General features: G+C 53.8%; 1 protein-coding gene and 1 long non-coding RNA gene across 11 annotated transcripts in view, besides 4 other annotated features; one reads left to right on the forward strand and one right to left on the reverse strand.

Moving 5' to 3' along the window:
* The window catches only part of CHLSN (cholesin), a 160,294-nt gene that overhangs the window by 130,247 nt on the left and 4,447 nt on the right, over positions 1–25,600 (reverse strand). For 7 of the 8 annotated variants that reach the window (NM_001424326.1, NM_001424325.1, NM_001134396.1 and 4 more), the window contains exon 2: positions 19,047–19,176. In NM_001424326.1, coding sequence (NP_001411255.1) covers positions 19,047–19,175 — 129 coding nt within the window. In that variant the 5' untranslated portion in view covers position 19,176. Of the gene's footprint in view, positions 1–3,244; positions 4,494–19,046; positions 19,177–25,600 lie in introns of those variants that run through there. The other variant, NM_001350970.1, reaches the window with a different exon arrangement.
* Positions 35–578: an enhancer, noted in NCBI's record as "H3K27ac-H3K4me1 hESC enhancer chr7:1147881-1148424 (GRCh37/hg19 assembly coordinates)". NCBI's record gives its function as "activates a minimal SCP1, AML or CMV promoter by ChIP-STARR-seq in primed H9 embryonic stem cells {active_cell/tissue: H9 hESC(primed)}" and the evidence as "EXISTENCE:reporter gene assay evidence [ECO:0000049][PMID:30033119]".
* Positions 1,981–2,821: an enhancer, noted in NCBI's record as "H3K27ac-H3K4me1 hESC enhancer chr7:1149827-1150667 (GRCh37/hg19 assembly coordinates)". NCBI's record gives its function as "activates a minimal SCP1, AML or CMV promoter by ChIP-STARR-seq in naive and primed H9 embryonic stem cells {active_cell/tissue: H9 hESC(naive and primed)}" and the evidence as "EXISTENCE:reporter gene assay evidence [ECO:0000049][PMID:30033119]".
* Positions 4,565–23,482, forward strand: LOC102723758 (uncharacterized). 3 transcript variants are annotated; one of them, XR_007060183.1, is made up of 4 exons: positions 4,565–16,332; positions 17,444–17,536; positions 21,746–21,861; positions 21,971–23,482. It is a non-coding gene; the product is annotated as an uncharacterized LOC102723758 (long non-coding RNA). The 3 variants fall into 3 exon arrangements; XR_428090.4 differs by having other exon boundaries at positions 21,746–22,367; XR_007060182.1 differs by lacking the exon at positions 17,444–17,536 and having other exon boundaries at positions 21,746–23,482.
* Positions 8,191–9,390: an enhancer, noted in NCBI's record as "BRD4-independent group 4 enhancer chr7:1156037-1157236 (GRCh37/hg19 assembly coordinates)". NCBI's record gives its function as "activates an origin of replication core promoter dependent on BRD2, P300/CBP, MED14 and CDK7 cofactors, and independent of BRD4, by STARR-seq in HCT116 cells {active_cell/tissue: HCT116}" and the evidence as "EXISTENCE:reporter gene assay evidence [ECO:0000049][PMID:35650434]".
* Positions 16,095–16,264: an enhancer, noted in NCBI's record as "experimental_97501 CRE fragment used in MPRA reporter constructs". NCBI's record gives its function as "activates a minimal promoter by MPRAs in K562 erythroleukemia cells, with activity observed for both the introgressed and non-introgressed 7:1164026 variant alleles {active_cell/tissue: K562}" and the evidence as "EXISTENCE:reporter gene assay evidence [ECO:0000049][PMID:34662402]".

The following is a 25,600-nucleotide window of genomic DNA, read 5'->3' on the forward strand; positions in this document are numbered from 1 at the left end:
CGCACTGGAGTCCCGCACCCCGGGGGGGAAGCAGAGGAGGGCTGTGTCCCGCACTGGAGTCCCGCACCCCGGGGGGAAGCAGGGGAGGGCTGTGTCCCACACTGGAGTCCCGCGCCCCGGGAGGAAGCAGAGGGGGGCTGTGTCCCGCACCCCGGGGGGAAGCAGAGGGGGGCTGTGTCCCGCGCTCTGCGGGGAAGCAGAGGGGGGCTGCTCTCCTTGGCGGGCCCTGTGGGCAGCTTTGCACCTATCTGCTGCGGACTCCACGAATCTCACGGCCCAAACGCACGGGTGTGCTGACTTGTCAACTGGGGGTTCCCATGAGGCGGGGGCAGTGCAAATCTGCCTGGGGTTCTGATTCTGTGCGGATGGCTTTCTATCCACCCCAGCTTCCCTGCCATGTGTCTCCGCCAGCTAAAAGGATTTTGTACCTCCCATTTTAAGGACAAGTGGCTCTCGGCTAGGAGGGCAGTTGAGTTCCACTCTCTGCCGCCTGAGTGTCTGAGATCACCCGGGTTGCCGTGTCACTGCTGACACACACGCCCCTACCGTGTGCACCCGCTTTGATGCCGATGGGGGCCATCCAGTGTGCACCCCCCTCACTGGAGCGGCTGCTGGGTCTCTTCTTTACCACCTGCTTTTGAATTAACTATGCTAGAAAATTCGGCTGTGATATTTCTCCCAGGCATTTTTTTTTTTTTTTTTTTGAGACGGAGTCTCGCTCTGTCGCCCAGGCTGGAGTGCAGTGCTGCAAACTCGGCTCACTGCAACTCTGCTTCCCAGGTTCAAGCGATTCTCCTGCCTCAGCCTCCCAAGTAGCTGGGATCACAGGCGCCCCACCATCACACCCAGCTCATTTTTCTATTTTTTGTAGAGACAGGGTTTCAACATGTTGGCCAGACTGGTCTCAAATTCCTGACCTCAGGTGATCCACCCGCCACAGCCTCCCAAAGTGCTCGGAGCCACCACGCCCAGCCTCTTCCAGTATTTTTATGTGTGTGAGGCAGAAGGGACGATTTCCCATGTTGACCAATCCACCATATTGACAGAAGTTCCATATATCTGCATTACCTAAACTTTCATGACAAGCATGTATTTGTTTTAAACAATTTTAAAATACCTTAATCCAATAAAAGAATTAAGACCCTTCAAGTGGTCCTAATCCCAACAGGCTGAAAACCACCGGCCTGAAGATCACCTTGGGAATCCAGCCGACACGCGTGGCCCCTGAGGCCCCCCATTCCTGCGTGGTTCCTAAAAGCATATAAAAAACTCTTTCACTGCTCATTTTCGTAAAGGCTACAGTGTAACACTCCATTTCACTTGCAGCTCAGCACGCAGTCGCTCCACACCCTGGGGTGCGGTGAGTTTAGTCTGCAGGTGCGAACACGGAACAGGTGGACATGCCCTCCCCACTCACCTCTGCGTGGGCGACGGAGCCTTTCCCGCCCGCCGGGCCCTCCCCACTCACCCCTCCATGGCCAGCAGGGCCCTTCCCCTCCCCCGCCGGGCCCTCCCCACTCACCCCTCCGTGGGCGGCGGAGCCCTTCCCGCCCGCCGGGCCCTGGGGCAGCACAGCTTCCCGATTCCCACGTGCCTCTGCGTCTCGGCGCCACGGGTGACTTTCGGTCCAGATGCCAGCAAAGACATCTCTCTGTCTACCAGGCAACCACCTCCATCCTCACCTCCTCACGGGCAGACTCTAACTACCTCCGCTCTCTCCACAAATGCCAGTGCGAGCGCAGCCTCGCCGGGCCGTGGGCTGCGTCCAGGGCTACAGTAATGAGCCGGAGGGCAGCGTGGGGAGGACACCAATGCCGGCACCTTCTCCCGGGCCCTCCACGCCCAGACACGGAGGCTACGCAAATCTGCCCCAAGCGCAGAGGCGAGCGGGTGCCCACAGGAGACAGAGGACCTCGCGCCGGCCGAGGCAGGGCTCAGTCCGTGGAAGAGCTCTGGCGGCACCAGCGCATGTGGTAGCAAAATCCCCACGCAGCCGCTCCTAGCTTCCCGCCAGAATACCTCGAGATGCCAGGAAGGAAAGCGCACACACCACCACAAAAGCTAAGCTAAACAATCCGCTGTGAAAATCAGGGAGGCACGTCCTCCGACGACAAGGATGCCGAGCAGGGCTTCCATCTTCATGGTGCGGCTCCGAGAGGAAAAGCCAGCCACCAAAGACCCCTCACCCCTCTCCCCGCGCCGGCACCTCCCGGGCCAAGGTCTCCAAATCTAACGGAGGCTGGGAAGGGCCCCTCAGTGCGAAGGCACGGCCGCCTGGGCAGCCTGAGCGCTCTTCCCGCGCCTCCCGCCACGTCTTCCCATGGCTCCCGTGGGGCAGAGCGGGAGCGGGTGTCGGGGGTTTGGGGAGATCCACCATGGGGCCGCATCCCGAGGGAGCAGACCGGGACACGGGCCTCGCGGGGCCTGTGCGGCCACAGCGCTGTGGGGCGTGGGAGGCCGCTGTCTGTGTAGGGCAAAAGCCATAAACACAAACAGCCCAACTGGAAAAATATTTGAAACATGAAGGATAGATAAAGGCTCTTAGTTTAAGAAGTGTGTTTGCAAATCAGTACAGAAAAGATAAATTACAATAGAAGTGGTTAAAAAAAAAAAAGCAAAAACCACACACAGGCAATTCACAAAAAAAAACCAAATGACCAATATGTACATGGAAAATGACCATCAACCGTAATCTTAGAAGCTGAAATTAAAGCAATCACGCCAGGTGTGGTGGCACACGCCTGTAGTCCCAGCTACTCCAGAGGCCGAGGCAGAGAACTGCTTGAACCCAGGAGGTGGCGGTTGCAGTGAGCCGGGATCGCACCAGGGCACTCCAGCCTGGGCGACAGAGCGAGACTCCGTCTCAAAAGAAAAAAGCAAAAAAAACAACAAAAAACATTTAATGTCTGGCTTGGTGCTTTGCAGTCTGCCTGTCTAATCTGTGGTAAACTTTTGAGGAGGCGGCACCAGATATAACATGTCTCTGTTATTTTTAGAATTAACTGATTAAAATGTTTTGCTATTTAAAATAAATAAATAAAATAAAGCAATCACCAGCTATCACTGCTTCCTGTCACACTGGATCACAACACCCAGGGAGGACACAGGGTAGCAGGTGTTCTGCTGCGGCCCAGGCCTCATATAACCATCTTGATGGCAAAGGTTTTCTCAAAGTGCAACTTTAAGGGAAAGACATAAAATGAAACCAACTACTATTCTCATCCATGGCATAACACAAAGGTGTTGAACAAAACAGTCTTTATTCAAGGGCCTGCTGTTTGTCGTTTTGCTTAAAGTCACAGTTTCTGGCCAGGTGAGGTGGCTCATCCCTGAAATCCCAGCACTCTGGGAGGCCAAGGCGAGAGGATCGCTTGAGCCTGGGATTTCAAGACCAGCCTAGGCAACGTAGGGAGACTCTGTCCCTACAAAAAATACAAAATTTAGCTGGGCATGGTGATACATAAACCTGTGGTCCCAGCTACTTGGGAGGCTGAGGTGGGAGGATCACTTGAGCCAGGGAGGTTGAGGCTACAGTGAGCCAGGATCACGCCATTGCACTTCAGCCTGGGTGACAGAGGGAGACCCTCTCAAAAAAAAAAAAGTTGCAGTTTCCAAGGGCCTCGGGGCGGGTGACACTGAGTGAGGACTCGCTGTGGATGGAAAAGCAAACATGCCCACTGCAGAAATCCTCAGCACACGCGGCTGCTACAGACGTTAACCACGGCGTCATTTCACGGTGGCAGAATCAGTCTTTCTGGTTTCTTCCATAAATTTCTCTGTATTTTCTAATTTCTTTTACATTAATCATGTATAACTCAGGAAAAATAATACACATTACTTTTTTAAAATTACATTTTGCTGAGTTCGTTTCTGTTGACCACAAAGAAGCAGCGCTGGCAAACATCTGGGCTGATCACAGCAGCAATGACAGCATTAGATGGAAATTCCACTGACATGGAAACAGTGGGCTTTCTGGAATATGGGGAAGTGGATCCTGTTTTCTTTGGCCCAGAATGAGGATGGTCAGATCTCCATGGCAGTGAGGAAGGCCGGCGAGCCTCCAGTTTCTCAGCAGTTCTTTGGATCTGACCAGCAGGCTGAGAAAGCCCAGCTTAGAGATGAGAGAGGCCGGCCGGGAGCCCAGTGCCAGCTAACAGCTCACCTGCCCTGCGGCCCGGCCTCCACCTGCTCACTCTGAGAGACGCCTGGCAAGGTGGCTGGGACGGCTACCCCCAAAAGGCTCCTGGAGAAAGAGACCACAGGAGTGCCCCACACAGACAGGGTGAACGAGCCTCCTCGGACAGGAACACCGTGGATGGCCCCACATGAAGCCAGGAAAGTCCCACGGAACCTGGCAGCTTCCAGCAACGATTGGGCCAATAGCACATATCACGAGCCTTGGAAAAGCAAACGAGCTTTAATTCTGCTTCTCCTAATTCCTAGGACATTAATCGGCTGTCCTCTTCGAAACGGGAGTGCTGTGATCCAAATGGCTAAAAAAAAAAAAAAAAAAGAAAAAGCGATCACACCATGTGCCAGTGAGGGTGCGGGGTCCGGCCTCAGCTGTGCTTGCAGTGCGAACGCAAAACGGCACGGCCACTCTGGAGAAGCGCAGCGGCTTCGTAAACATCTAAACATGCATGCACCATGCAACCCGGCAGCCACGTCCTGGGCACTTACCCCAGAGCGATGGAAACGTATGCTCAGGCATATTTACAGAGCTTTACTCACAAAAGCCAAAGCCCAGAGATCCAAATGTTCTTTGCACCGTGGATGAATAAGGGTCTATAAAGCAGCAGCACCAGGAGCCGTGCAGTGCAGGATCCTCCTGTATCTTGACCGCCACAGTGGTGGTTACAGGAAGCTATGCACCTGGAAAAACTGCAGGGCGCACACACACGCACACACCCGCACGTACAACCGTGGACTCTGGACGAGCTCTGTGCGAGGCATCCACGTCGATGTCCTGGGGAAGCCAGGCCACACAGGCCCCTCATGCTTTTTTTTTTTTTAATTTACTAAGAATCTACCGTTATTTTAAACATAAACTTGCTTTAAGAGAAAGTGCGAGTGAGCGCCCTGATGGCACTGGCTTGCTGAGTACTGTGTTTTCACACTGTCCCCCAGCAACCAATGCCCTGAAAGCCAGGAGTGCCCGCTCCCAGAAGGCGCCGCCCGGGCAGCAGCAGCTGCTCCTGTTCTCTGCAGGCTGGTGCTGTTCCTGTTCGGAGCAGGTGTGCGACCCACATGGCAGGGGCACGGACTTGCTTCGACCGTCCACACTGAGAAGATTCTGTAAGCATCACGAGGTGCTGATGGGTCACCACGCCCCACAGGATGCAGAACAGCTGGAATCGGATGGCAGCGCTGGGCAGGGACTCGGAGCTCATCTACTTCACATCTCACGCTCCACAGGACTCCTTCCCGGGCGGCCCTTACGACACCCACCTCGTCCCAGCCCGAGCATTTCCCAGGACAGACTCATTACCTCCTCTTAGACAGCACTGATTTTCCGACAGCGTGCCTCATCCCAAGCCACCACCTGTGCCTGTAATTCCTACCCGCGGGTGCCAGCTCTGACTGCCAGGCAAGGAGCGGTGCAGAAACTCTGAGCCATGGCAGGCTTCGAGGGGCAAAGGGGCTCCAGGACCCGGCCTGGACGGCAGGAGGCCACGCTCTGCTCCGGGGCTCTTCTCAAACTTGTCTCCAGGGAGCGAATGGAGAGGCCCGAGCTCAGAAAGAAGTACAAACCTCTCAGTGGCTCAACTTCCCGTCGACATAGATACTAATTTTATATTTCAAGTTAAATGTCCTCTTGTTGCTCACTGATGCCCTATTCTTCTCCTAATTAACCCGCAGTGCAGCGGTGCCCATGGCAAGCTTTCCCACTGTAGCAAGGACACGGCCCTGATCATTTCCCACAATAAACCCAGAGTCCTGCCAACTTCCCAAGGGGTGCAGGCCAGACTGTGCGGCCACTGGCCCATACAAGGGCCGGGCTGTTCCTTACTCAAAGTGCAACCACTGGGCCTCTTCCACGTGGTAGGAGACGCAGAACTGGAGGCAGAAAGACCTGCTGCCTAAGTGCCACGATCTGTCAGGGCAGAGGCCGCCCGCAGCTGGGGAGTGACCTCAGACGCAGGTCCTAAGCTGCAGGTTAAAGAGGCAAATGCGCCCCTGTCACCAGCGTGAATTGTGGTGAGCCTGGAGAAGTGCTGTTTCTGCCTTGGTTGGACTCGATGTTTAGACTCGGAGAATGAAACTTCAGCCCCCTGGTCAAGTCCCCGGCAGCCTCTGTGGGTAAATCAGCTTTGGTTGGACACGGCTGCCCCCGCTCGGCCGCTCATGGCCTAACGCTGTTCCTGCTCCACAGGCCGTGATGGGCGCGGGGCCCAAGGGCTACCCCCTTCCCCAGCTGGCCTTTACGGAAGGACTGAGGCCAGCTCTCCCATGGGTGAGGGAAAGAGATGGTGATCAGGAACACCAGCAAACCAGGGCTGACAAGAGCAAGGAATCGCCAGGCCCAAACCGCGGGGTGAGCCAGGGCTCAGAAACGAGGGTGGCCCGGGAGCCATTCTGCCCGGGCGATGGGCAGGTGTCTGAGGCCCCACGGGGCAGGAGGGGAGGTGGAGGGGCTCGCAGGAGAGCTGCCCCTGCCCCGCACAAAGCAGCTGCTCTCACAGGGTTGCAGGGTTGGACGTGGGTGGGAGCCATGGTCACTCTGCAGCCTTCCCAGCAACCCCATAAGCACCAAACTCCCTGTGTTAAACCCCTTCCTGTTTGAGATGCCTGTGGGGGTCCTGTTTCGCCTTTGTGGATACCGTGGGCATGTCTGTTACCAGACTGCAGTCCACAAAAGTGAAAGCTCATGCTTTGGCGGAGACAATTCAAAGTCTCTACTTGCTTAAAAATTCTCATCTTTTGAGATAAATAAGATCCAAAAAGATATGCCTCATTTTATAATAAATCTTTGCTGTTTTTTAGGAGTGTTTCTTGGGGAGAGGGAAGAAACTGTTTGATTTTCATCATGTCTGGGTGTTAAATTTCTCCAAACACTTCTTGGGCATTCACTGAGATGAGAAACGGCCCCGGCCCTGCCACTGCCCACCCTTCGGGAAACGCCCCACCACAGACCCAGCCCCCAGGCTCGCCCTCACCGGGCGCCAGGGGATGTTTGCTATTTAACACAGAGAACAGGAAATCAGGAGGCGCTCCCCATCACCTCCCAGGTCAGACGCCATCCACCCTCCTCATCACCAACGCCCACGCAGGATGACTTCACTACAGCTCTACGGACCGGCTTCCATCACCAACGCCCATGCAGGATGACATCACTACAGCTCTACGGACAGGCTTCCATCACCAACGCCCAGGCAGGATGGCATCACTACAGCTCTAGGGATGGCTTCCATCACCAACGCCCACGCAGGATGATGACATCACTACAGCTCTAGGACCGGCTTCCATCACCAACGCCCACGCAGGATGACTTCACTACAGCTCTACGGACCGGCTTCCATCACCGACGCCCACGCAGGATGATGACATCACTACAGCACTACGGACCGGCTTCCATCACCAACGCCCACGCAGGATGACATCACTACAGCTCTAGGGATGGCTTCCATCACCGACGCCCACGCAGGATGATGACATCACTACAGCTCTAGGACCGGCTTCCATCACCAACGCCCACGCAGGATGACATCACTAAAGCTCTAGGGACGGCTTCCATCACCAAAGCCCACGCAGGATGATGACATCACTGCAGCTCTACGGACCGGCTTCCAGCACCGACGCCCACGCAGGATGATGACATCACTACAGCTCTACGGACCCGCTTCCATCACCGACGCCCACGCAGGATGATGACATCACTACAGCTCTAGGGACCGGCTTCCATCACCAATGCCCATGCAGGATGACATAACTACAGCTCTACGGACCGGCTTCCATCACCAACGCCCACGCAGGATGACATCACTACAGCTCTAGGGACTGGCTTCCATCACCAACGCCCACGCAGGATGACTTCACTACAGCTCTACGGACCGGCTTCCATCACCAAGGCCCACGCAGGATGACATCACTACAGCTCTACGGACAGGCTTCCATCACCAACGCCCATGCAGGATGATGACATCACTACAGCTCTAGGGACAGCTTCCATCACCGACGCCCACGCAGGATGATGACATGACTGCAGCTCTACGGACCGGCTTCCATCACCGACGTCCACGCAGGATGATGACATCACTGCAGTTCTAGGACCAGCTTCCATCACCGACGCCCACGCAGGATGATGACATCACTGCAGTTCTAGGACCGGCTTCCATCACCGACGCCCACGCAGGATGATGACATCACTACAGTTCTACGGACCGGCTTCCATCACCGACGCCCACGCAGGATGATGACATCACTACAGTTCTACGGACCGGCTTCCATCACCGACGTCCACGCAGGATGATGACATCACTACAGCTCTACGGACCGGCTTCCATCACCGACGTCCACGCAGGATGATGACATCACTACAGCTCTACGGACAGGCTTCCATCACCAACGCCCATGCAGGATGATGACATCACTACAGATCTAGGGACCGGCTTCCATCACCGACGCCCACGCAGGATGATGACATGACTGCAGCTCTACGGACCGGCTTCCATCACCGACGTCCACGCAGGATGATGACATCACTGCAGTTCTAGGACCGGCTTCCATCACCGACGCCCACGCAGGATGATGACATCACTGCAGTTCTAGGACCGGCTTCCATCACCGACGCCCACGCAGGATGATGACAGCACTACAGTTCTACGGACCGGCTTCCATCACCGACGCCCACGCAGGATGATGACATCACTACAGCTCTACGGACCGGCTTCCATCACCGACGCCCACGCAGGATGATGACATCACTACAGCTCTACGGACCGGCTTCCATCACCGACGTCCACGCAGGATGATGACATCACTACAACTCTACGGACCGGCTTCCATCACCGACGTCCACGCAGGATGATGACATCACTACAGCTCTACGGACCGGCTTCCATCACCGACGCCCACGCAGGATGATGACATCACTACAGCTCTACAGACCGGCTTCCATCACCGACGCCCACGCAGGATGATGACATCACTGCAGCTCTACGGACCGGCTTCCATCACCAACGCCCACGCAGGATGACATCACTGCAGTTCTACGGACCGGCTTCCATCACAGACGCCCACGCAGGATGATGACATCACTGCAGTTCTACGGACCGGCTTCCATCACCGACATCCACGCAGGATGATGACATCACTACAGCTCTAGGACCGGCTTCCATCACCAATGTCCACGCAGGATGATGACATCACTACAGCTCTATGGACCGGCTTCCATCACCGACGCTCACGCAGGATGATGACATCACTACAGCTCTACGGACCGGCTTCCATCACCGACGCCCATGCAGGATGACATCACTACAGCTCTACGGACCGGCTTCCATCACCAACGCCCACGCAGGATGATGACATCACTATAGCTCTAGGACCGGCTTCCATCACCGACGCCCACGCAGCATGACATCGCTACGGCTCTACCGACCAGCTTCCATCACCCACACGCCTTTTTCATTTTGTTTTGTTTTCTAGAGACCAGGTCTTGCTACATTGCCCAGGCTGGCCCTGAACTCCTGAGCTCAAGGGATCCTCCCACCTCGGCCCCCCTAGAAGCTGGGACCACAGGCCTGTGCTTATTCAAAAACAGACAAAAAGGAAGCCCATCGTTCCTGCTACGGGAATGCTGCCAGTGTCACATGCTGCCCATCTTCTCATCCAGAGAGCCACACTATGTTTCCTTCAGAATTCAACTGAGACCAAAACAAGAAAACCACAGCACAACGCTTACCCAGCAAAAATATGAAAACACCAGGCTTCTGGGTTAAGCCAGAAACAAAAAAGTAGTTCTGCTTTGGAAAATGTGAATTATATGGTCATATTAAAGATGATCACCTCTATCATACAACACTGGCTCAAAAGTCCTAGCCGTTGCTAGAAGAAAAACAAAGACGGCATGAACACGAAGTGGAGACACACCTGCCATTCTCTGCAGACCTTTTCGCTTACTTAAAAAACCCGATACAAGAGAATCAATTGACAATAGAATTAGAAAGCTCAGCATCATTGTTAGCTCTAAGATCAACATCCAAATTATCTATAACTTCCCAATACACCATCAATAACCATTATGACACACCAAAGGAGGAAACAGACTCAAAAGTATCAAGAATCCTAACAAGAAACAAGCAAGACCTTTCCAGAGAAAACCATAAAACTTTCCTGAATGACAGAAAAGACAACCTCAATAAGTCGCAAAAAAATGTTCGTGGAGTAGAAAAGCTGATTCCAAAATTCACACAAATAAGAGGCCAAGAACACTGTCCAAAAAAACAATGAAGAAAGAGTTTCTTATGGCCGGGAAAGGTGGCTCACGCCTGTAATATCAGGACTTTGGGAGGCCTGAGGAGGGAGAATCACTTGAGCCCAGGAGTTTGAGACCACCCTGGGCAAGATAGTGAGACCCCATCTCTACCAAAAAAAAAAAAAAAAAAAAAAAAGAGGTACTTACTTTGCTAGATATTAAAGCATATTTTTTTTTAAAAAAACTAAAGTATTAAACAGTGTGGTAAAGACCTCACTAAATAAATTACGGTATAACAAGACAATGGAATACTATGAGACTCTTAAAAAAAAATAGGCTATTGTGGGCTGGGCGCAGTGGCTCACGCCTGTAATCCCAGCACTTTGGGAGGCCGAGGCAGGAGGATCATGAGGTCTAGAGATCGAGACCATCCCGGCCAACATGGTGAAACCCCGTCTCTACTAAAAATACAAAATTAGCCAGGCGTGGTGGCACACACCTGTTAATAGGATATTCTAACCAGGATTCTAAGACAATTCAAATGACAAAAGAACTGTCTTTTCAACAAGCAGAGCTGGGGCAAGTAGATATTCACATGCAGAAGAATGAAACTGTATCTCCACCTTGCACTACACTCAACAATTCACAAAAAACAAATCAAAAACGTAAATGTAAAGCCAGACACAGGGGCTCACACCTGTATTCCCAGCACTTTGAGAGGCCAAGGCAGGAGGCTTGCTTCTTAGATGTGGTATCAAAAGCACCGGCAACAAAAGAAAAATAGATCAGCTGGTCTTCATCAAAATCGAAATCTTAAGCGCCTCAAAGGACATCAAGAAAGTGAAAGAGAAGCCACAGAATGGGAGAAAATACCTGCAAGTGTACTTCCCAGACACACTAGGATATCTAGAATCAGAAGGTCACATATCACAGTGCTGGCGAGGACATGGAGAAAGTGCAACTCTTGGCTGGGCGCAGTGGCTCACGCCTGTGATTTCAGCACTTTTGGGAGGCCGAGGCAGGCTGCTCACCTGAGGTCAGGAGTTCAAGACCAGCCCAGCCAACAAGGCGAAACCCTGTCTCTACAAAAAAATACAAAATTAGCTGGGCGTGGTGGCACATGCCTGTAATTCCAGCTACTCGGGAGGCTGAGAGAGGAGAATCGCTTGAACCCGGGAGGCAGAGGTTGCGGTGAGCCGAGATTGTGTCACTGCACTCCAGCCTGGGCAACAAGAGCGAAACTCCGTCAAAAAAAAAAAAAAGGGGGATAGAATGCTCAACAAAAGATTCTAAGGCAAGTGTATCTTTCTTTTAGAACAAAAGAAGTTAGATCCCTATCACACATAAAACAAATTTAAATTGGTTCTAAAAAATATAAAAGAGAAGCACTTCTTTCGGAAGAAAAAAACAGAAGTCATAAAGAAAAAAACTGACCTTACATCAATTATATCTCAATAAAAAGCTGTTTTTTAAAACCACATACTCAGAATGATGAGACTACACCTATAAGAGCAGCCAAAAATTATACCTCAATAAAAAGCTGTTTTTTAAAACCACATACTCAGTATGACAAGACAGCACTTACCAGAGCCGCCAAGATTAAGAAGCTAGCAGCACCACGTGTCGACCAGTGTGTGGAGGAGCCAGGACCCTCATGCTTCTTTTTTGTTCAACATTTTGGGGTTTTTTTTATTTTTAGACAGGGTCTCGCTCTGTCACCCAGGCTGGAGTACAGTGGTGCAATCTTGGCTCACTGCAGCCTCCGGTGATTCTCCCATCTTCGCCTCCCTAGCAGCTGAGATTACAGGTGCACGCCACCATGCCTGGCCAATTTTTGTATTTTTTATACAGACAGGGTTTCACCATGTTGCCCCGGCTGGTCTCAAACTCCTGAACTCAAGTGATCCTTCTGCCTCGGCCTCCCAAAAGTGCTGAGATTACAGGCACGAGCCACCGTACCTGGCCAGCAGCTTCTCAAAAAATTAACCACGCACTTACTATAGGATCCAGCAATTCCGGTCCTCGGAACGAAAGCATAGAAAGTCACAGATGCAAATGTTCACAGCACATTCATAACAGCCCCAAGCTGGAAACAACTCAGTCTCCAAACCCTAGTAAACGGGTGAGAGAATCTGTGATCATTCCGCACCATGGACTATTTTACTCAGCCCCAAAAATGGATGGACACGGGGCGTAGTGTGGCCGGCAGGCGGCCCATGGACTATTACTCAGTCCCAAAAACGGATGGACACAGGGCAGCAGGGCCGACAGGCGGCCCATGAACTATTAGCCATGAAAACGGATCAAAAACAGATGGACATGGGGCAGCGCGGCTGGCAGACAGCCCATAAACTATTACTCAGCCCCAAAAACGAATGGACATGGGGCAGATGGACTATTTTACTCAGCCACAAAAACGGATCAAAAACGGATGGACACGGGGCAGCGTGGCCGGCAGGGATGAAGGAGGGAGCCGGCCTCCCGCTGCCTACGCGGGCTTCAGGGAGACCACACAAGTTCTCGGGGTCTCAGTTCCCCCACACGTAAGACTGTTCCTCAGGTTCCACCTGCCTTTCAGCCCTGTACATGTATGAGTTCAAAATTCAGTCGGCAGACAACCCGGCATGCAGCAGTCAGACAGGAGAAAATAAAAACAATGTGGTGGGGGTGGGTGGAATTCTACTAAGAAAAACAATTCGGGCTCCCAGGGAGCCTCCACAGACACCAGCCACCACTCAGCCCCAAGAGTTCAATGACACACAATCCCACTGCCAGGGCAGTAATGCTTCTTGGGGCAAAATACCATTGGTCTTAAGTATTTTGGATCAGAGCAAATTCTCAAGGCCATGAAGTTCACGGCCTCATTTGATGGTTTTATAAAGCTGCGGTCTTCATGCTCTAGTAATACACACTGATTTTCAAGATTACAAAAGCAGCAAATCCAGAGCCTCTACACGCCGGTTCAAGCCAAGTAGCCCTGCTCCCTTCCGCTGACCACCACCTGTGCCCCGCGTTCTGGCTGTGCGAGGCGCAAGCCCCACAGCCAGGCGGTCACGCCAGACGGGTTTACAGCCAAGACCATGAAACACCCAGGGCCAGAAAGACTGCACCTGGGAACATGGTACCCTGGGCTTACTGTGGCCCACGAAGCCTTCTGTGGCCACTGCACTCACACAGGGCAGCATGCTGCACCCACCCACTGCACTCACACAGGGCAGCGTGCTGCACCCACCCACTGCACTCACACAGGGCAGCGTGCTGCACCCACCCACTGCACTCACACAGGGCAGCGTGCTGCACCCACCCACTGCACTCACACAGGGCAGCGTGCTGCACACACCCGAGGCCTTGTCTGAGCCCTCATGGTCCTTACACGGCACCTTGACACATGGACCCTGCCCTCGACTGAGGCTCCGCCGGCTCGCAGCCAGCCACAGGAAGGGATCCTGGTCTCTGCTAGTGGGCTCCATGAGGTAACCAGAGTCAGAAACCAGGGGTGAGTCTCTTCCCCAGGACCAGCTGGCCAGGTGACTGAAACCAGCACAGCACCCACGCCTCTGCCCCTGGCACCTCCAGGCTGCTAAGAATCAGCTGTCAAGATGCTCGTGGGGACGGAAAGTGTTGCACACATAAGGGATTCTTACGAGGCAGAGGAAGCCAGGGGGGTTCTGCTGACATGCTGACAGCAGTGGACTGAGGGAGCCCACCTTCCATTTCCAGGCAGCCAAACAGCACTGACAGCAGCAGGGAGGCGGCCAGGTCATCACAGGGGCCTCCACACCAGCAGCCACTCGGCTGGCTCTGCATGGGGTGGTCACGCGTATGCCGCCTTCCCCCGCATACGGCTCCGTGGCTTCAGACAGAAACAGAGAAGCTAAGGGTCCCCTTTAGTGAGACTGGAGAGGCAGGGGGAGGGTGAAAGACAGAAAGACCTGCCGAGTCACATGACCTCCCACCATGTCCGCCGACCCCAAGGGATGCTGGGCAGCAGGCCTGGCTCAGCCGGGGCCCCACAGTCCTCCCGAAGGACATGTGTCATTTGAAACCTCATCCTCACAACCCGCTCAAGTGGGAAACCAGGCCTGGAAGGGTTAAAGGAACGTGAAAACAGAACTCCTAAACCCCAGCTCCCCGGGGAGGGCTTAGCTATGAAACAGGAAGCAGACAGGGCAAACCCTGGGACCCCTCTGGTCCACAAGAGGAAAGGCCCAAGGCGCCAACCCCAGCGGCAGAACCTCCTGCCCGCAGAGCTGAGGAGGACAGAAGCGGCAGGTGCCAGTCCCTCCTAAGACCAGTGGGCAATCATACAGCCCAGTCACCAAGACACGAGACAGGCCCATGGGAGCAACTGTTCCTCCTGCCGGGCCACCACAAGCCGCCCACCTCCCCAGCACTCCAGGCCAGCAGGGCCCTCCGGGATGGGGAGCTCAGCAAACAACACCCAGAGCCGAGACCCTGAGGCCCTGGTGCCCAGGACCGAGGAACGGCCAAACCTCACCAACGCCAGACAGAGGCACCAGGGACTGAAGCCTGGGAGAGTGAGTGCACCCGGCCCAGGAGGCTTCCCGGGCCAAGCCCACAGGCCTGAGTGGGAACCGGAACGCTGAAGGAACACTCCCCAAGGGGCGATGAAGTTCCCATCACTTGGGGACGTGGCGGCGATCCTGGCGCAAGCTCAGAGTGCTCATGCTGTGGGAAGAGGCTGCACGGGGCCCCGGGAGTGGCCGCTGACCCGCAGGCTCCCCAGACGGACGTTGCTGGGAGGACAACACAATGGCCCACGGGGGGACACAGGCTTCTCCATCCTCGATGGTGGATTCCGGAGGTTCATCCAGGATCCACTGGGGGAGGGGAGGGAAGCAGCGCAGTACTTTTCCACACGCTCCCCCGGAGCCCAGGAATGCTGCTCCCCAGGCCCAGCCGCCCACCCTCCTAAGCACTTGGGTTCAGCTTCACAAAACGCTTGAAACTTTTTTTTTTTTAAAACAATTTCCCATGAGAACCAGGGAGAGTCAGCAAGGAAATATCCATATTAGCAGAGACACCCCATTTCACTGGGAGACTGGCTCCCAGACATACAAGAACATGAGCCCCTGAGCCCCCACACTCCATCTGAAAACCCTCCCAGTAGCCCGGAAACTGGCCACAGGGGCATGCAGTTTGCAGAGAATCCAGCTGAAGGCAGCTCCCTCCGCCAGCTCCCTCGGAAGGAACGTGCTGCCGACCCCTGCTGGTGAACCGGGCTCCACCGAGACCGCATTCCCTGGCTTCCCAGGCCCTCTTCCCGCTGCCAGCTCCTCCAAAGGCTAAGGAACCAGCTCCAGGTCGCTTCCCAACGCTCAGCTGGGCGGGCCTGAGACCAACTCCACGCCAGTGGCCGGAAAGCCAAGTGAAAGCTGGTGACTCTGCCGGCAGCTGCGTGTTACAGACCAGCAGAGTCCAGCCCTCAAAGCGTAGCTGGAGGAAACAAAGGCTTTCTTCTTTCCCCTCTTGCTTTCCAGCTTTCTTTTAATCAACACGTATTTTAATAATGAAAAATAATCACATACTTTAAAATAATTACTTGAACCTAAACAAAAGGACAGACACCACTCCCTCACTTGGGCAGGAGTTTTAACCTCTGCCCACAGTCACCGTAAGCCGAGCTGTCTTGGGGGTGCTGCCAGTGACCAGCGGCCTGTGTGGGGATCTGGCTGGAGGAGGGTTCACCAAGAAGGGAGAGCCAGAAGCCTCTTGACTCAACTCAAAAAGTCCAGGGTGACGCCGCGCCCACCAAAGTCGTGTGTGCCTGAGGCTCTGCGGAATTGAGACTGGGCTGAACCACAGAACAAGAGCTCCAGCAGCTCTCGGGAAACCAGCGTCCATCTGGAACCCAAACTAAAAAGCACAACTGGACCTCAGGCTGTGAAGAAGGAGTGAGTAAGAGGCAGTCGGGGGGTGGGGGGGGAGGGGGGAGGGATAGCATTGGGAGATATACCTAATGCTAGATGACGAGTTAGTGGGTGCAGCGCACCAGCATGGCACATGTATACATATGTAACTAACCTGCACAATGTGCACATGTACCCTAAAACTTAAAGTATAATAATAAAAAATAAAAAAAATTTTAAAAAAGCACAAAAAAAAAAAAAAAGAGGCAGTCAGCCTGGGAGACACAGGAATTCAACAGCCTGCGGAGGAGGAGCCGAAATTCAAGGTGAGGCTCAGGTGGAACGCGGGGCTGCCTGCTGACCCGCTGCGCGGGAGCCGCAGGACCTCTGCACCTGCCAGGCCTCAGCCTCCGGGTGACCTTGGGGTGTTCTGCTAGAGAGCCCAGGACAAGCTGTCTGGCTGTGCTTGGGGTGCTGTCTGGCTTCCCTCGCCCGGGGGGTGGCAGTGAGAGACGACCCTCTGAGACAGCCAGGAGCTCCTCTAGGCACACACCCCAGCTTCTCCCCTCCACCCACGCCTGCTGAGCCGCCTGCAGCCACAGACGTGGTGGACGTGATTTCACACCACCTTCCGAGAGCTCAGCACTGCCTCATTGGACAGGATCCCAGAGTGAGCTGGGCCACACCCAGCAACCAGGCACACTCCACCGTCCCGGGCATCCGTGGCTGGGTAGCCCAGGGACCCCTCCAAGCACTGGCTGTGCCCACCTCCTGCTGGAAGCCGCTTTGAAGGGCCCACGTGGGCTCCCCCTTTCCACCTCCCTTTGCACAGCGGCCATTTTCTCATTTCATGAAAAACAGGGCCACCTGCCACCCCACATCTCACAATGGCACACTGCCCCAGGCACGAGACCTCCAGCACTAATCAATGGCAAAGCTTGAACCCTGGTGTCACCCTGGGGAAGTGAACAAATGTAACAAGCCAGCACCGGGCCCCTGCACAACTCAGGGACCCAGTCCACCTGTCACTTACTGATAGAGCTTTAAAATAAATCCTGAAAATATGTGCCCAAACCACAGAATGGTCTCAAAGTTTAAGGACTTAAGCAACAAAGCTACAACACTACTCTTGTTCCCATTTACTCATCTATGTCAGCAAGGGCGCTCAGCACTGAAATCTGACATGAGAACAGGAACAAAGCCTGTGGAAACCCGCTTTCTCTCGAGCAATGACAGCGCGGATCCACAGGTGAGTGTGCCATCCGCAGACACGGAAAGCCCTGCCCTTCCACGGGGTGGTAACACGGGGTGACAATGCTCTTACCACGATGTGACGCGCGCGTCGTCAGATTTCACTTTATGTAGAATCATTTGTGAAAATTCCTAATCTATTATGCTGTTTCGATCAACTGCATGCTCCTAATGGTAAACACAGCTCAATGCAGAAGAGAAATTTTAACACTCAGAACTTGGTGGGTCAAAAAATTTTTTATATTTTCAAATTTAAATGTATATGCATCTTTTTGTGGAAGATAAACATGATACAGTACATAATAAAATACTTTCAAGAATAAAAATGCAGGGCCTGGAGCAGTGGCTCACACCTGTAATCCCAGCACTTGGGAGGCCGAGGCAGGTGGATCACGAGGTCAGGAGGTCGAGACCATCCCAGCTAACATGGTGAAACCCCGTCTCTACTAAAAAATACAAAAAATTAGCTGGGCGTGGTGGTAGGCGCCTGTAGTCCCAGCTACTCAGGAGGCTGAGACAGGAGAGTGCATGAACCTGGGAGGCGGAGCTGGCAGTGAGCCAAGATGGCGCCACTGCACTCCAGCCTGGGTGACAGAGCGAGACTCTGTCTCAAAAAAAAAAAAAAAAAAAAAAAAGAATAAAAATGCAGGCCAGGTGCGGTGGCTCACACCTGTAATTCCAGCATATTGGGAGGCCGAGGTGGGTGGATCACTTGAGGTCGGAAGTTTCAAGACCAGCCTGGCCAACATGGTGAAACCCGGTCTCTATCAAATATACAAAAAACTAGTCGGGCGTGGTGGTGTGCACCTGCAGTCTTGGCTACCTGTGGGGCCGAGGCAGGAAAATCGCTGGAACCCAGGAGATGGAGGTTGCACTGAGCTGAGATCCCACCACTGCACTCCAGCCTGGGCGACAGAGACTGTGTCTCAAGAAAACGAAGAATAAAAATGCATCACTTTAGGAGAAGATGGCTCACGTGTCTTTTCAAGTGAATGGTGGTGGATACTCAAATCTCAACGTTATTCATAACCCGCTGCACACCGTTTAGAAAGTGATACCAATAGGTGATTTTCAAACGGACAATAATCGTGTTATTCGACACGAACATTTCTAGATGTGCATTTTTAAACACAGGCTTTCAGGACACGCCTCTGCACATGCCCAGGTGAGGAGCCGCCCCTCGCACCTTCCCAGGGCCCAACCGAAGGCCTGCTGCAGGCCCCTCACCATCCTGCATGCCGCCACCAAGTCCCCTACACAACACAGCACCCAAAACAGCAGTTTCCTGGCAGCTAAGAAAGGCAGTCATAGGGTTCCAACTCAAAATTTACTAAAATCCTTCTTTGTCCTACAATCGCTTCTGGAAGGCACCAAGCCCCACCACGCCTCCGCACCTGTTCCAGGCTCTGCTCCACAGAGACCAGCAGGCTGAGCCACCCCCTCTCCCTCCAGATCAGATAACAGGTGGATCCCAGAGGGCAGGGCCAGTGAAGCACAGGCGGCCTTACCTTGGAGCCGGCTCCTTCGCCACTTGGTGCAGCCTCAGGGCCCAGCAGTGGCCCCTCTGCTGACGCCTTCTTCAGCTTTTTGTTCTTTTTCTCTGTCACTTCAGGAACTTTTCTCTTCTGTTTTGCCATCCTGCAACAGAGAAAGTAAATTGCTGAAGACAAGGAAATGAAAGGCTTAACTCATGTAAGATTTTTAAATAAAAAGAGGTAGGGCACTCTCCCATTAAAAAAAAAAAAGAGTATTATGGAAAACATATAAAAGTTAAAATAAACTCAAACTCCCACATTTCATAACCTATGGACAACCAACTTGACACATTTTGGTATATTTCCTTTCTGTCTTTTTTTTTTTTGAGTCAGGGCCTCACTCTGTCACCCAGGCTGGAGTGCAGTGGCACAATCTCGGCTCATCCCACCGTCACCCGGGCTGGAGTGCAGTGGCACAATCTCGGCTGATCCCACCGTCACCCGGGCTGGAGTGCAGTGGCGCGATCTCAGCTCATCTCACCGTCACCCAGGCTGGAGTGCAGTGGCACGATCTCGGCTGATCCCACCGTCACCCGGGCTGGAGTGCAGTGGCACAATCTCGGCTCATCCCACCGTCACCCGGGCTGGAGTGCAGTGGCACGATCTCGGCTCATCCCACCGTCACCCGGGCTGGAGTGCAGTGGCGCCATCTCGGCTCATCCCACCCTGTCACCCGGGCTGGAGTGCAGTGGCACGATCTCGGCTCATCCCACCGTCACCCGGGCTGGAGTGCAGTGGCACGATCTCGGCTCATCCCACCGTCACCCGGGCTGGAGTGCAGTGGCGCGATCTCGGCTCATCTCACCGTCACCCGGGCTGGAGTGCAGTGGCGCGATCTCGGCTCATCCCACCGTCACCCGGGCTGGAGTGCAGTGGCGCCATCTCGGCTCATCCCACCGTCACCCGGGCTGGAGTGCAGTGGCGCCATCTCGGCTCATCTCACCGTCACCCGGGCTGGAGTGCAGTGGCGCCATCTCGGCTCATCCCACCGTCACCCGGGCTGGAGTGCAGTGGCACAATCTCGGCTCATCCCACCGTCACCCGGGCTGGAGTGCAGTGGCGCCATCTCGGCTCATCCCACCGTCACCCGGGCTGGAGTGCAGTGGCGCCATCTCGGCTCATCCCACCGTCACCCGGGCTGGAGTGCAGTGGCGCCATCTCGGCTCATCCCACCGTCACCCGGGCTGGAGTGCAGTGGCACAATCTCGGCTCATCTCACCGTCACCCGGGCTGGAGTGCAGTGGCGCCATCTCGGCTCATCCCACCGTCACCCGGGCTGGAGTGCAGTGGCGCGATCTCGGCTCATCCCACCGTCACCCGGGCTGGAGTGCAGTGGCGCCATCTCGGCTCATCTCACCGTCACCCGGGCTGGAGTGCAGTGGCACAATCTCGGCTCATCCCACCGTCACCCGGGCTGGAGTGCAGTGGCACGATCTCGGCTCATCCCACCCTGTCACCCGGGCTGGAGTGCAGTGGCGCCATCTCGGCTCATCGCACCCTGTCACCCGGGCTGGAGTGCAGTGGCGCCATCTCGGCTCATCCCACCCTGTCACCCGGGCTGGAGTGCAGTGGCACGATCTCGGCTCATCCCACCATCACCCGGGCTGGAGTGCAGTGGCGCCATCTCGGCTCATCCCACCCTGTCACCCGGGCTGGAGTGCAGTGGCGCCATCTCGGCTCATCCCACCCTGTCACCCGGGCTGGAGTGCAGTGGCACGATCTCGGCTCATCCCACCGTCACCCGGGCTGGAGTGCAGTGGCGCCATCTCGGCTCATCCCACCATCACCCGGGCTGGAGTGCAGTGGCGCCATCTCGGCTCATCCCACCGTCACCTGGGCTGGAGTGCAGTGGCGCGATCTCAGCTCATCTCACCGTCACCCGGGCTGGAGTGCAGTGGCGCGATCTCGGCTCATCCCACCGTCACCCGGGCTGGAGTGCAGTGGCGCCATCTCGGCTCATCTCACCGTCACCCGGGCTGGAGTGCAGTGGCGCGATCTCGGCTCATCCCACCGTCACCCGGGCTGGAGTGCAGTGGCGCCATCTCGGCTCATCCCACCGTCACCCGGGCTGGAGTGCAGTGGCGCCATCTCGGCTCATCCCACCGTCACCCGGGCTGGAGTGCAGTGGCGCCATCTCGGCTCATCCCACCGTCACCCGGGCTGGAGTGCAGTGGCGCCATCTCGGCTCATCCCACCCTGTCACTCGGGCTGCAGTGCAGTGGCACAATCTCGGCTCACTGCGTCCTCAAAATTCCAGGCTCAAGCCATCCTCCCACCTCAGCCTCCTGAGCAGCTGTAACCACAGGCGCATGCCACCATGCCTGGCTCACTTAAATCTTCTGTAGAGGCAGGGTCTTGCTATGCTGCCCAGGATGGTCTTAAACCCCTTGGTTCCAGCCATCCTCCGCCTCGGCCTCCGCAAGTGCTGGGGCCACTGCCATGAGCCACCATGCCCAGCCCCGTTCGGTCTTTTTTCTGAGTGTTTTTATTTAACATAGCTGCAATCATACATGGATTACATATTCTATATTTCTAACTGGACATGAACACAAAGCGTTTAAGATTAAGAGAAATACCATTTTTAGTGACATTATCATAATTTCCCAAAGGTGAAAATCTGCCTGCTCTCTAATTACTGAATATTTTGAATTGTTTTCACTTTCTCCTATCAGGCTCACTCATGCTCCCCATCAACTAGCAAAGCTGTGGCACCACACGGGCTGCGGGCACCGGTCCTGCCCATCACAGGACACCTGGCACCCTCGGGTGGAGGGGCTCAAGGACCACCGTGAGTCTGGGGTCTCCTCTGAGTGGGCAAGGAGCATGGAGCAGGCCACGTATGAGGGTGGATGCGGCATTCAAGGGGCATGTGGTTAGGCCTCCTTTCTCCAGCACAGCTGTCTCCAGAACACCACGCCAGGACGGAGAAGTCCAGGGACGGCAGAACCCGTGTCCTTTGTGGACTGTGTGATGAGGGAGCCGAAAGAGGCAGCTGAGGCCACCAGACTTGGGAGCCTGCTGGAGGGGCTGGGATAGCAGGCCCTGGGCCCCTGATGGAGGGGTGCTGGTGGCTGTGGCCAGGACCTAAGGAACAACCTGGGGTGGCAGCGGGCAGGGACAAGGCTGCTTCTAGGAGGGAGAAGCAGGGGCCCGGCCCACGCCTGCTGCTGCAGCGAAGCCTCCTGCATGGGCTCACTCATGCAGGACAGCAGGAGCAGAAGAAGCCCTCACCTGACCCCATGCCCCTGTCCCCACCCCTCCCTTCCTATCCCCACCCTCCCCAGGGCCACCCCCTCACCCACACTCCTCCCTACACTCCTCCCCACCCTCCAGCTCCCAGTCTCCTCTGCCGCCCCCACTGGGTGCAGCCGAAAAGGAGCTGAGAACAGAAAAGTGTCCTGCAGAGCCCCAGGCTATGTGGGCCCCGGGCGGGTGGGGGCGGGGGGGTGCCACAGAGGTGCTGGGGAGCCAAGAGACAGGAGCTCAACAACCAGCACACGCGGCATGCACGCTGCTTCACCACGGCCTCCAGCCCGGACGGCTCAGACACACACCCACAAAGGACCACGTCAGTAAGCCAGGGAACACCCAGAAAGCCAGATCCCACCCCAAAAGTAAAACAGTCCAGGCATAGTGGCTCACGCCTGTCATCCCAGCATTCTGGGAGGCTGAGGTGGGCAGACTGCTTGAGCCCAGGAGTTTGAGACCAGCCTGGGCAACATAGCGAGGCTCCACGTCTACAAAACATTTTTTAAAAATTGGCTACGCTTGGTGGTGCACACCTGTGGTCCCAGCTACTCAGGAGGTAGAGGTGGGAGGATTGCTTGAGCCTGGGAGGTCGAGGCTGCAGTGAGCCATGACTGTACCACTGCACTCCAGCCTGGGCAAAAGAATGAGACCTTGTGTTTAAAAAAAAAAAAAAAAAAAAAAAAGAGTAAAGCAGGATAGGTTACAGAAGAGCAGCAGTTTAAAAAGCATGATCATCATGGAAAGGGCCTGGCAGCATTGAGCCCACCTAGGGCCCAGGTGTGGTCTAAATACCCCTCGCTGTGAAAAAGAGTCAGGGGAGGTCAAGACAGGCCTGGGATGCCAGGTGAGGCCAGAAACCAAGGAGACAGTCAAAGAGCAAAGGCCCTGTCCAAAAGGCAGAGCCTGCACAAGGGTTCCCCCCATCCCACTCGGGGCTATCACTGGTAACAGCACATTGGAAGAATATTCCTATTGTGGAATCAGAAAACCCCAAGCCCCTTATTCTTTAATTGAGCCTTATCTTTAAAAAGCATCAGAAGCCAGAGGCTACAGATTTCAATTAGCTATGTAATAAGAAATCTTGGAAGAATGAGATACTGTTGACACAGGGGCTCTGGAAAGACAAGAGACCATGCCAGCCAATTACCTTGTGAGAGAAATAAGAAAAGTTCAGCAAATATTTACACACCCATTACTATAAAAGTTAAGTAAAATCTATATTCATTCTGTAAGTTATCATTTAAAAACTTAATCACTATGTCTATTTGCTAATAAGGGATAAAAGACTTTTCCATATTATGGAAAGGTTCCTTTTAATAGTTCTAAGGGAAAGTGACTCAAGCTTTGAGATAATGAATGTTTGTTATGGAAAATGACGTTTACTTTCATTTACTGTCAACTGATTTTCAACAAGAGTGCCATGACAATTCAGTGGGAAAGACAAATGGTGCCAGGACAACTGGCTACCAACATATAAAAGAATGGATTTGGAGCCCTACCTCACACCATACACAAAACTAACTCAAAATAGATCAAAGTCCTAAATGGAAGAGCTAAAAGTGTAAAATTATTAGAAGAAAACACAGGATTAAATCTTCATGACCTTGGATTAGGCAATGGCCTCTTACATATGGCACCAAAAACACGTGGCAAAAGAAAAAGAGATAATAAATTGGACTACAACAAAATTTAAAATTTTTGTGCTGCAAAGGATGCCAGCAAGAAAGTAAAGAGGCTGAGTGCAGTGGCTAATGCCTGTAATCCCAGCACTTTGGGAGGCCAAGGCAGGAGGATCACTTGAGGCCAGGAGTTCCAGACCAGTCCCGGCCACACAGCAAGACCACATCTCTACAAAAAACAAAGCAAAAAGAAAACCCAGGCTAGGCACTGTGGCTCACGCCTCTAATCCCAGCACTTTGGGAGGATGAGATGGGAGGACTGCTTGAGCCCAGGAGTTCAAGACCAGCCTGGGCAACATGGTGAGGCTCCATCTCTACAAAAAATACAAAAAATTAGCTGGGCATGGTGATGCACACCTGTAGTCCCAGCTACTTGGGAGGCTGAAGTGGGAGGATGACCTGAGCTCTGGAAGTCGAGGTTGTAATAAGCCATGATTATGCCACTGCAACCCAGCCTGGACAACAGAGTGAGAACCTGTCTTTAAAAAAAAAAAAAAAAAAAAAAGACACCACCCATAGTATTGGAGAAAATACCTGCAAATCACTTATCTGAGAAGACACTAGTAACTAGAATATATAAAGACCTCTAACAACTCAACAACAGGAGACAAATAACCCGGTTTTTAAATGGGGAAGGGATCTGAAGAGACGTCTCTCCAAAGAAGATACACGAATGACCAACAGGCACATGAAACACAGCTCAGCATCGGGTCATTTAGGAAATGCCAATCAAAGAGAAACGAACACATCTCCATAAAAATGTGTCCAATGATGTTCACGGCAGTATGTGCCTAATATTCAAGCGGTGGAAACAACCTCCGTGTCTGTGCATCCATGGACGAAGGGGGAAACAAGACGTGGCGTATTCACACAGGGGATACTATTCAGCCACCAGAGGAAATGGGATACTGACATGTGCCACAAGACAATAAACCCAGAAGACACTGTGCCGGGCAGGAGAAGCCAGACGCCCAAGACTCCACACTGCAAAATTCCACTTCTGTGAAAAGCTCAGGATACGCAAATTATACTGACAGAAAGGAGATGAGAGATTATTTAGGGATAGGGCAAGTGGAGGGAAGAGTGGGTGACCACTAAGGGGCACAGGGTTTCTTGTGGCAGAAGGAAAAAGTCTTAAAATTAGATTGTGGTGATGGTTTCACAATCCCTCGATATACTGCAAAAAAAAAAAAAAAAAAAAACTATAATCCCTCTCAAATTATTTACCATAAATTTAAAAATGTAACACCCAAGTGCGGCCAGGCACGGTGGCTCACGCCTGTAATCCCAGCACTTTGGGAGGCTGAGGCAGATGGATCACGAGGTCAGGAGATCAAGACCACCCTGGCTAACACAGTGAAACCCTGTCTCTACTAAAAATACAAAAAAAAAATTAGCCGGGCGTGGTGGCAGGCGCCTGTAGTCCCAACTACTCGGGAGGCTGAGGCAGGAGAATGGCGCGAACACGGGAGGCGGAGATTGCAGTGAGCCGAGATCAAGCCACTGCACTCCAGCCTGGGCGAGAATGAGACTCCATCTCAAAAAAAAAAAAAAACACCCAGGTGCTACTTTACGATAAATAAATAAATAAATGGGAGA

Source organism: Homo sapiens, chromosome 7 (genome assembly GCF_000001405.40).
Source record: "Homo sapiens chromosome 7, GRCh38.p14 Primary Assembly".
Classification (NCBI taxonomy): domain Eukaryota; kingdom Metazoa; phylum Chordata; class Mammalia; order Primates; family Hominidae; genus Homo; species Homo sapiens.